General features: G+C 33.5%; 1 protein-coding gene across 12 annotated transcripts in view; it reads left to right on the plus strand.

Annotated features, from left to right (window-relative positions):
* ADAMTS19 (ADAM metallopeptidase with thrombospondin type 1 motif 19) overlaps window positions 1-12,630 on the plus strand; it is a 278,386-nt gene that overhangs the window by 108,958 nt on the left and 156,798 nt on the right. The gene's annotated exons all lie outside the window — the stretch shown is intronic.

The following is a 12,630-nucleotide window of genomic DNA, read 5'->3' on the forward strand; positions in this document are numbered from 1 at the left end:
TATTAAGGGATCAATTAACCAAAAAGATATAGTAGTTTAAATGTTTTAGCACTTAACAATAGAGCTTTAAAACTCATGAAGCAAAAACTGACAAACTAACAGGAAAAATGGACAAATGCACAATTATATTTGAAATGTCAACACTCCTCTAAGTAATTGATAAAACCAGTAAACAGGAACTTAACAGTGATATAGAAAAATTGAAAACCACCGCTAGCTAACCTTTACACACTGCTCCACCCAACCATAGCAAAATATGCATGCCTTTCAAATGACATGGAAATTTTTCCAAAGGGAAAGGAACATTTTCTAGCTCATAAAGCAAACCTTTACCAATTTAAAGGAATTTAAATCAAACAAAGTATATTCCTGGGCAAAATGGAATTTAACTTCAAATTAATTACAAAAAGATAGCAGGAAAATGTTCTCTAAATGTTTGGAAAATAACAAATTCTCAATAATTTATGGGTTGAATGAAACATTTCAAGGGAAATTACTAAGTGTTTTGAACTGAACAAACATGAAAAGACAACATACAAATTGGAGGATGCAGAAAAAGCCATGCTTAGAGAGGAATGTATAGGGTTAAATGTTCTTATTATAAAAAAGGACAGATCTCACATCAATAATCTAAGAATCTACCTAAACTGGCTGAAAAGGTAGAATAAGCAAAACAAAACACACTCATATCAACCAGAAGGAAAGAAGTAGTAAAAATAGGAGCATAAATCAGTAGGAGAATTCCCCTATTTCTTCGGATAATTCTCCTATTGACTCTCCAAAAGAATTCTCCTAAATCAGTTCTCCTGTTGATTTATGTTCCTATTGATTTATGCTCCTGGGAAATCAAAATGGAATAGCAATAGTGAAAATCAGTGGAAACAAATTTTTTTGTGGAATTGTGAGTAAAATTTCAAACCTCTAGCAAGTATGACAAAGAAAAATAGAAAGTAGAAACAGTTTACTGATACCAGCAATGAAAGGGAAGATATCATTATAGACCCCACAGACATTAAAATAATCATTAGGGAATAATAAAAATAGCTCTGTGAGCATCAGTTTGACAGTTTAGATTAAATGGACCAGTTCATTGAAATCCTCAAACAAAACTTATCCAAAATAAAATAGATAATCTGAGCAGTCTTATTAAATATTAAAGAATTTGAGTTTTTATTTTAAAATCACCCAAAAATAAAATCTCCAGCACTAGGATGTTTCATTAGTAAATTAAAGAAAAAATTAAGTTAAAGAAGTTTCATTGGTTAATTAAAGAAGAAATAATACAAATTTTACATTAGATCTTTCAAAAAACAAATGTCAAGGATACTTAGATTTACCGATACTAAAAACCAAACTAAGGAGTACAGGAAAAAAATTAAAAGAAAAAACGTATACACCAATATTTCTCATGAACATAAAAACAAGTATTAGCAAATTGAATTGAGAAATATACGAATAACAGAAGAGAATCAAGTGGGGCTTATCTCAGGAAATAAAGGCTGGTTCAATATTTGAAAATCAATCCATGCAATCAAATACATTAAAAGTCTAAAGAAAATGCATGTTGACCATGTCAACTGATGCAGAAAAAGCTTATGACAAAATTCACCATCTATTCATGGTTTAAAAAACTCTCAGAAGCCTGTGAATAGGTGGAAACTGCTTTAACCTGATAACAAGCATCTACTGAAAAGAAAAAAGGCAGTTAATGTCACATTTAATGGTGAAAAAACGAATGCTTTCTGACTCAGACTGAAGCAAGGCAAGGCTGTCCACTCCATCCCTCTTAGGAAAAAATAATCCCAGATATGCAATTAGGTGAGAAAACTAAATGAAAGGCATAACAAATATGAAGGAAGAAATAAAACTGTCTCTGCAGAAAACATTATTGTTTACATAGAAAATATCAAGGCATGTATGAAAAAACTCCTAAAACTAATAAATGAGGTTAGCAGAATCAAAGAATATAAGATTAACCCACAAAAATCTAATGTATTTTTATGTACTAGAATTGGATACTCAGAAACCAAATTTTTAAATATGTACATGTATATGTGTGTGCATATATGGGTGTTTATGTGTATATGTGTATGTATATATATGTATATGTATAAACATTAGGACATGATATATATGTGTTTCTGTGTGAGTATATGTGTGTGTGTAATCAGAGCTCCAAAATGAAAAAATGAAATATGTAGGTATAAATTTAACCAAACAGGTACAAAATCTGTATACTAGGATCTACAAAATGCCGATGGGAGCAATAAAAGATCTAAATAAATGGAGAGAAATACCATGTTTATGGAGTGGAAGACAGCATGGTATGGATATACCACTTCTCAGACTGATCTATACATTTAACATAATGCAAATAAAAATTTAAGTGCTTTTTTGTAGATATAGACAAGATGATTCTAAAATTTATATGCAACTGAATGATCAACACAATTTTGAATAGAAAAATCGTTTCGGAGAAATACTACTCATTATATCATTTATAAAACAAGGGTTTAGTAATCAAGACAGTGTACTGTCAGCGAAAGAAAACATACATAAATCAATGGACCAAAATAGAGATTCCAGAAATAGATCCACACAAATAGGGGCCAATTGATTTTCTACAAAGGTAAAAAGGCTATCCAATGAAAAAAGTTTTATCTCTTCAAAAAATGGTGCTTAAAAAATTGAATATCAGTATGCAAAAGAATGACCATTATACAAAAGTTAATACAAAATAGACTATTAATCCAAATGTAAAATGCAAAACTATAAAAACTTAGTAGAAAACATAAGAGAAAATCTTGATGACCTTGGATTAGGCAAAGAGTTCTTTCATATGACACCAAAAGCTTGGTCCATGAAAGGAAAAATGATAAACTGGATTTCATCAATATTAAAAAACAACAAAAGTACTTTGTTCTGTTAAGGGATTAAAATACAAGTAATAGCCCTGGAGAAAAGATTTGCAAGTTGCATATCCAGATACTAGGACTTGTATGCAGAATATGTAAATTACTCAACATTAAGAAATCAAACAACTCAACTCTCATACATTGTTGCTGGGAATGGAAAACTTCACAACCGCTTTGGAAAATGGTGTGGCAGTTTATCCTAAAGGTAAATATGCACTTAACATATGACCCAGCAATCCCACCCCTGAGCATTTACTTCAAAAAAACGAAAACTTACATTCACCTAAAGCCTGATCACAAATGTTTATATCTGATCTATTCATAATTGCCAAAATTTAGGAACAGTCCAAATGTTCTTTAACAGGTGAATGGATAAACAATCTGTGGTACATCCATACAAGGAAATGCTATTCAGCAATGAAAAGAAATGAATTAGTGATCCATCTAACTGCTTGGAAGAATACCAAAGCATTATGCTGAGGGAAAGAAGATAGTCTCAAAGGTTACTTACTGTACAATTATATTTATGTGTCATTTTCTAAAAAACAAACATAATGACCAGATGAGTGATTACTATTGATGAGGGAGAGGGGAGGCTGTAAGTTTACAGGAATAGCACAAAGAAGTTTTGGGGTGTGATGGAAATGTTCTGTCCCCTGATTATTGTGGTCATTGCACAAATCAATAGAAGTGTTAAAACACAGAGGACAGTACAGTAAAAAGAAAATGTTACTGTATATGAATTTAAAAATTAAAGTTAGAACAAAACAAAAAAGAGTAAGAAATTTTATCTGATTGTTAGATTTGCTTTTAGCATTACAACTGTGTATTCCACAAAAGGTTTGTGCACGTTGTGCCCTTTGCAAAGGTACCTAATCTATAGGGCCTACAGGGGAGTACATATTGAAATCCATCCCAGACTTCACCTGCCAATCCCTTTTTCTAATCCTTCCATGAACTTGAGAAGCCTTTTAAAAATATCCATCTTCCCAGTTTTGTACCTCTTTTAATTGACATTAACATACTGTCATAAATGAAGCCTTGCTTAGGACCAATATTTTTTGCAGATTTTAGTGAGTTTCTGTGTTCAAATACATTGTTTTAGAAATTCCAAGTGGAGAGCTATTTCTTCGTTGTTCCTTTCTCCCTTTATTCCTTTTCCACATTTGACCCATTCTTCAGAACTCTAAATAAATTCTTTTAGATATCCTAGGTTGTTTCTCAGCCGACCACGCATCACATTTCAGTATGCCTTTCTTATAACTTGCATTTTATTCATTCTGTCTCCCCAGTTAGATTCTCATCTCTGTGTGATCAAGGATCTTACTTAATGCATGTCTGTCTCTTCAGCACATAGCATAGTCACCTGAGCTTCCCATATCTATATATTTCGGAATAGAAGTGAATTTCTGATAAGAAAATATTTCCTATGGTTCACAAGAAAAGCAAAGCTGAATGTAATCATGTTTAATTTTTGGCTGTCTTGTATATTTTATTAGGCACTGGCCAAAACCTAAATTGGACACTTTATATTTCTATTTTAGCAATAGGGATAAAACTTGGATACATTGTCAAAGTTGATTGTTCTTAAGATTTTTCTCTTCTCAAGATTCTTTACTGTTAACAATTGACTTTAATTATAGCATTTTGCTTCTATTAAAAATGTTTTGATGGTGCTATTAAATAATATATGAATATTAAAATATGTTGATTATATCCTTGGGAAATTTAGACCATTTGAATTTAGAAACCCCCCAAAGTCCTCATATTTTTTTTCAGTTGTTGGGATAAACTCTGGAAAATGGCAGCTTTCTATTCATCACACATTTACCCAATGTTGTCAGTGAACAATAATACTTGTTAAGCATCTACTAAGTACCACGGGTTTTAAAATGTCACCTCTTTTAACCCTTGGAGAATTCAATGCAATAAGAGATTATTTCATTTTACAAATAAAGAAAGCCACAGTTTATGTTTAATGGTTATCATATTTTAGACCAGCCAATATATGCTTGAAATATGTGTCTAAATTACTTAGCATTCCTAAGACAAATTATCACAATTCTACCGGTGGGAAAACTGAATGTCAGAAAAGACAACTAACTTTTTTTTCGGCATTTTTTTCTTTATTTCTTCTAAAAATAAATAAATAACAAATACACGTGCAGAACGTGCAGGTGTGTTACATAGGTATACATGTGCCATGGTGGTTTCTGCACCTATTGACTCATCCTCTAAGTTCCCTCCCCTCGCACCCCAATCCCTCGACAGGCCTTGGTGTGTGTTGTTCCCCTCTCTGTGTCAATGTGTTCTCATTGTTCAACACCCACCCACTTATGAGTGAGAACATGCAATGTTTGGTTTTCTGGAAAACTGACTTTTTTATAGTCACAGATTTAAAACTGAGGCTGGGATTCAAACCCTACAGTATTTGACACAAGACCATTGGTTATTATTTTTAGGCAGGTCCTTTTTTAAAAATAAAACATCTTTATTGAGGCAAAATTAATTTATAATAAGCCTGTTTTGCTTATACAATTTGATGAGTTTGGATGTATATATAAATTCTTAAAATTTTATTCTCCTCATTTGACCTTCTTTATACTTAATGCAGAAAAAGGTAAAAAAGCATCTATTATTAAGTTCCAATCAGAAATCAGAAATTTTTTTAAGTATCAAAGCATTCTTGAAAAAAAAAATTAACGTGTTTATTTACTATGGCAATTTCCTCAATGTACAAACCTAAAAACTGATGTCTTAAAAATACATCTACAGTTTGAGTCACTTGAATTTAAATATTTATTCTATTTAACAAATTATGTCAAAAACTATATTAAACTTTATATTTTAAATAGTAATATTTAAGAGCTTCAGATATTTGTAGGTATAATTGCTTTGAAATTATAACTATTTTCTTTATATTTCTGCAGTTTATAGATTACTTGAATAAAAATGCTGATCACACTGAGTAGAAAGCAAGTTGTGAAGAATAACAAAATGATTAAAAATTGGAATGGTGTAAAAATATTGTGTCCAACTGTTTGGAAGTTTGAGTTGGTTTGTAGTTGTAAATGAATGCTGTCAGTGCTTTTGCTAGTATACTAAAAAAGCAATTTATACAGCTTTTTGCTAGCATGATATTTAATTTTTTAATTGTCCCTATTTAATGCCTTCAGGATATGATTATGTTATAACATTGTAAAAATGTGTCAGCCAGAATTCCTGATTTATGTGCAATCAGAACACTTTTAAATTTTTCCAGCTGTATCCTTAAAGTTACTTCATGAAAATCTTTTAACTGTGATTCATCTTACCTATTTTTCAGAGTTATGACAGTTTGTTAATCTCCAAGGCAGATGAAATCATTAAACCTAAATAACTTCTTTGGCTTGTGAGCAAAGTCATATAGAAAGTCTAAGAACTCTGACTTTTATCTTTCTTTTAATTAACATAACAATGAGAATACCAATTTTCAGCTGTTTCTGTGTAGACTGTGAAGTAGTGTTCCCATTACTGATTTACAAGAGTTAGTTGTGTAATCTACCATGTATGACTTTTTGATTGTGTCATAAACATTATATTTTCCGAGGTACACTGAAATCTAAATTAAAAATTTCAGATGGGGTATTTTATTATGATCTGTCAAAACTACAATAATGTATATCAGAGTTTGGCTTAATTCAAAATCTCTAAGGATTTGAGGGTTTATCTTCTAAAGCCATCCAATAATCTACCCTTATATTTTCTGAAGAGGGATAAGATGTGAATGTGAAGTAGGATAAATCTGGAACAGGAGCACAAAAGCTAGCTGCAGACATAATTTTTTTTAACATTCTTCCTTCCATATAAAAGCAATCCATCTCATCATCTTAATGCGGGGAGGAAGGGGGTGGGTGGGTCTCGGTGGTGTAGTTTGTAAAAAAGCTTAAAGGAAATATAAAACAATAACAGCAGAAACAAACCCTATTTTGGAATGTGTTCTTTACTATGACATCCTTCTCATTTCAAAGAGCAGAATTTAGAAATCACCACTGCTGCTCCTACATACCATTGTCCCTGTGATTGAATCTCCTTTCTTTCACTTTTTCTCTAAACATTTACTTGAATCATCTTTCATCTTCTTCCTCCTGTACCATATTAATATTTTATATAAAAGCTTGCCAAAGATGTAGAAGTGACCTATGTGTGTACACACACTTTTAAAAATATAGGTATTTCCATCTGTACTTAATTTTGTCTCCATACACGGAGCAGGGCAAAAAATTATACTAAATTAGGCAAAGAAAATGTAGCATTTAGCTTTCTACAGTGTATTAAATCTTTCTCATAAGTTTCTATTTCACTTAATTCCAAGAAAATCAAAACTTAAAATTGTCAATTTGTGTTATTTTCCCTCTAGTTTAAATTGCTTTATTCTTTTTTTTTTTTTTAGTTAAATACCCATTTTTTCCAAATAGCCCCTCCTAACCTCTCATCTGGTGCTTTCCAAGGAGCTGGGAGGGGGACTTTGTGTAGGTCAGCAATCACAGGTTCTTTCACTACTCTCTGAAACTTTTTTGATCTTTGCAGTAAATTCCCTTACTTCTGGGCAACCAGAGCACACTGTTGGATTTGGTGGCCAACCATGCAGTTGGCGAGTGCAACTTAAGCATATTGGCTGACCTACCTATTCAATTCATCTACACCACAATTTTTTATCTTTCCCCTGATGCTTACCCTACTAGCTTGTACTGCTGAAGACACTGCTGAGCTTCAGGCACATCATCCATAGGTTCCCTGTGTTAAACTGCCCACCTCTCTGACTTCCATGGCAGTCGGAGTCAACGTGGGCTCAGGAATAACTCAGCCCTTCTCTCTGCCTAATTACTCAGTATTTTCACTGCTTTTCTTCTTGAGCCATCCTATACTGACATGGAATAGAGTTCCAAAAGTGTTCACTAATCCTAATTCCTCCTCACCTGCCATCAGAGAGAAGCCTTTAGAGGACTAGAAAGACATCAGTTACATGGAAATAGAAGAGAGATGCATATTAATGCATTTTCAAATTTTTTATTGCTACACTGTACGAAACATACCTGGACTCATAATTTATTCACCTAAATATTTTTCAGGTTCCCACAAAGAATTCCAGAAACTGTTTCACACATTGGGAATTAACATATTGTTTTATTTCCTGTCATTGTTGTGCTTACATTTTGATGGAGACAGAGAATATACATATTAAATAATTAGTTGGTATATTAAAAGATAAAACTGATATAGAAAAAATAGCCCATACAAATAAGGGATAATCCGGGAGTTCCAGGGGAGAAGGAAATTTATAATTTTAAACAGAGTGATCAAGAAATGTCTCACTGAAGAAAGTGACAAGTGATATTTGCATAAAGGTTTGATGATGATCTGGAAAATACATCTAAGGAAAGAATGTTCCAGGCAAAGTGAAATCCAGTCAAGAGGTCCTAAGATGTAACGATGCTTGCTCACATTTGAGAAATGACCAAGAGAAAGCCAAGGTAGCTGGAATTGAATTAATGAACGATTACAGGAATTTCAGATTTTGTATTTCTTTTTTTGACTGATTTGACAAATTGTAAAATTTATTTACATATATTTGTTATATTGCCTTGATATCTTTAAGAATTGTAGAGATGTTTCCTTATTTATTTTGATGCTGGTAATTTGTATTTATCTCTCTTTTATCCTTGATAGATTTACCAGGGAATTGTTCATGTTTTTGCCAACTTTCTTATACATTTATTTTATAATTCATTGATTTTCCTCTTTTTTACTTCCTTTTATTTTTTTAAGCTTTAATCGTCTTCTTTTTTTCTTTAGCTCCCTGAAGGAATTTATTGATTTTCAAACTTACATACACACACACACACACACACACACACACACACACACACATATATACATATACATACATATACATATGCATGTATATGTACGTATACGTACATATACCTATATGCATGTATATGTACGTATACGTACATATACCTATATGCATGTATATGTACGTATACGTACATATACCTATATGCATGTATATGTACGTATACGTACATATACCTATATGCATGTATATGTACGTATACGTACATATACCTATATGCATGTATATGTACGTATACGTACATATACCTATATGCATGTATATGTACGTATACGTACATATACCTATATGCATGTATATGTACGTATACGTACATATACCTATATGCATGTATATGTACGTATACGTACATATACCTATATGCATGTATATATACACACATATACACACATATATATACTTTAAGTTCTGGGGTACATGTGCAGAATGTGCAGGTTACATAGGTATACACGTGCCAGGGTGGTTTGCTGCACCCATTAACCCGTCATCTATGTTAGGTATTTCTCCTTATGCTATCCCTCCCTTAACCCCCACCCCTTGAAGGCCCTGGTATGTAATGTTCCCCTCCCTGTGTCCATGTGTTCTCATTGTTCAATGCCCACTTGAGTGAGAACATGTGGTATTTGGATTTCTGTTCCTGTGTTAGTTTACTGAGAATGATGGTTTCCAGCTTCATCCATGTCCCCACAAAGGACATGAACTCATCCTTTTTTATGGCTGCATAGTATCCCATTGTGTATATGTGCCACATTATCTTTATCCAGTCTATTATTGATTGGCATTTGTGTTGGTTCCAAGTCTTTGCTACTGTGAACAGTGCTGCAATATACATACGTGTGCATGTGTCTTTATAGTAGAATGATTTATAATCCTTTGGGTATATACCCAGTAATGGGATTGCTGGGTCAATTGGTATTTCTGGTTCTAGATCCTTGAGGAATTGCCACACTGTCTTCCACAATGGCTGAACTAGTTTACATTCCCACCAACAGTATAAAAGCATTCCTGTTTCTCCACATCCTCTCCAGCATCTCTTGTTTCCTGACTTCTTAATGATCGCCATTCTAACTGGCGTGAGATAGTATCTCATTGTGGTTTTTATTTGCATTTCTCTAATGACCAGTGGTGATGAGCTTTTTTTCATATGTTTGTTGGTCACATAAATGTCTTCTTTTGAGAAGTGTCTGTTCATATCCTTAGCCCACTTTTTGATGGGGTTGTTTTTTTCTTGTAAATTTGATTAAGTTCTTTGTAGATTCTGGATATTAGACCTTTGTCAGATGGATAGATTGCAAAAATGTTGTCCCATTCTTTAGGTTGCCTGTTCACTCTGATGGTAGTTTCTTTTGCTGTGCAGAAGCTCTTTAGATTAATTAGATCCCATTTGTCAATTGTGCCTTTTGTTGCTATTGCTTTTGGTATTTTAGTCATGAAGCCTTTGCCCATGCCTGTGTCCTGAATGGTATTACCTAGGTTTTCTTCTAGGATTTTTATCATTTTAGGTCTTATGTTTAAGTCTTCAATCTATCTTGAGTTAATTTTTGTATAAGGTGTAAGGAAGGGGTCCAGTTTTAGTTTTCTGCATTCTAGCCAGTTTTCCCAACACCGTTTATTAAATAGGGAATCCTTTCCCCATTGCTTGTTTTTGTCAGGTTTGTCAAAGATGAAATGGCTGTAGATGAGTGGCCTTACTTCTGAGGCCTCTGTTCTGTCCCGTTGGTCTATATATCTGTTTTTTTACCAGTACCATGCTGTTTTGATTACTATAGCCTTCTAGTATAGTTTGAAGACAGGTAGCATGACGCCTCCAGCTTTGTTCTTTTTGCTTAGGATTTTCTTGACTATACGGGCTCTTTTTTGGCTCCATATGAAATTCAAAGTAGTTTTTTCTAATTCTGTGAAGAAAGTCAATGGTAGCTTGATGGGGATAGCATTGAATCTATGAATTACTTTTGTCAGTATGGCCATTTTCACGATATTGATTCTTCCTATCCATGAGCATGGAATGTTTTTCCATTTGTTTGTGTCCTCTCTTATTTTCTTGAGCAGTGGTTTGTAGTTCTCCTTGAAGAGGTCCTTCACATCCCCTGTAAGTTGTATTCCTAGGTATTTTATTATCTTTGTAGCAATTGTGAATGGGAGTTCACTCATGATTTGGCTTTCTATTCATCTGTTATTGGTGTAGAGGAATGCTTGTGATTTTTGCACATTGATTTTGTATCCTGAACTTTGCTGAAGCTGCTTATTACCTTAAGGAGATTTTGGGCTGAAACGATGGGGTTTTCTAAACAGACAATCATGTCATCTGCAAACAGACAATTTGACTTCCTCTATTCCTATTTGAATACCCTTTATTTATTTCTCTTGCCTGACTGCCCTGGCCAGAACGTCCAATATATGTTAAATAGGAGTAGTGAAAGAGGGCATCCTTGTCTTGTGCTGGTTTTCAAAGGGGATGCTTCCAGTTTTTGCCCATTCACTATGATATTGGCAGTGGGTTTTTCACAAATAGCTCTTATTAATTTCAGATACGTTCCATCAATACCTAGTTTATTGAGAATTTTCAGCATGAAGGGGTGTTGAATTTTATTGATGGCCGTTTCTGCATCTATTGAGATAATTGTGTCATTTTTGTCATTGGTTCTGTTTATGTGATGGATTACATTTACTGATTTGTGTATGTTGAACCAGCCTTGTATCCCAGGGGTGAAGCTGACTTGATCGTGGTGGGTAAGCTTTTTGATGTGCTGCTGGATTCGGTTTGCCAGAATTTTATTGACGATTTTTGCATCGATGTTCGTCAGGGATATTGGCCTGAAATTCTCTTTTTTTGATGTGTCTCTGCCAGATTTTGGTATCAGGATGATGCTGGCCTCATAAAATGAGTTAGGGAGGAGTCCCTCCTTTTTCTATTGTTGGGAGTAGTTTCAGAAAGAATGGTACTAGCTCCTCTTTGTACCTCTGGTAGAATTCTGCTGTGAATCCATCTGGTCCTGGGCTTTTTTAGGTTGGTAGGCTATTAATTACTGCCTCAATTTCAGAACTTGCTATTGCTCTATTCAGGGATTCAACTTCTTCCTGGTTTAGTCTTGGGAGGGTGTATGTGTCCAGGAATTTATCTATTTCTTCTAGATTTTCTAGTTTATTTGCATTGAGGTATTTATAGTATTCTTGGATGGTAGTTTGTATTTCTTGTGACCAGTTTCAGAACTTGCTATTGCTGTATTCAGGGATTTGACTTCTTCCTGGTTTAGTCTTGGGAGGGTGTATGTGTCCAGGAATTTATCTATTTCTTCTAGATTTTCTAGTTTATTTGCATCGGGGTATTTATAGTATTCTCTGATGGTAGTTTATATTTCTTGTGACCAGTGGTGATATCCTCTTTGTCATTTTTTATTGTGTCTATTTGATTCTTCTCTCTTTTCTTCTTTCTTTATCTGGCTAGTGGTCTATATATTTTGATAATCTTTTAAAAAAAAAAAGCTCCTGGATTCATTCATTTTTTGAAGGGTTTTTCGTGTCTCTGTCTCCTTTAGTTCTGCTCTGATCTTAGTTATTTCTTGTCTTCTGCTAGCTTTTGAATTTGTTTGCTTCTTGCTTCTCTACTTCTTTTAATTGTGATGTTAGGGTGTTGTTGTTATAACTTTTCCACTTTCTGCTGTGGACATTTAGCGCTATAAATTTCCCTCTAAATACTGCTTTAGCTGTGTCTCAGAGATGCTGGTATGTTGTATCTTTGTTCTCATTGGTTTTAAATAACTTATTTATTTCTGCCTTAATTTCGTTATTTACCCAGTAGTCATTCAGGAACAGGTT

Source organism: Homo sapiens, chromosome 5 (assembly GCF_000001405.40).
Source record: "Homo sapiens chromosome 5, GRCh38.p14 Primary Assembly".
NCBI lineage: Eukaryota > Metazoa > Chordata > Mammalia > Primates > Hominidae > Homo > Homo sapiens.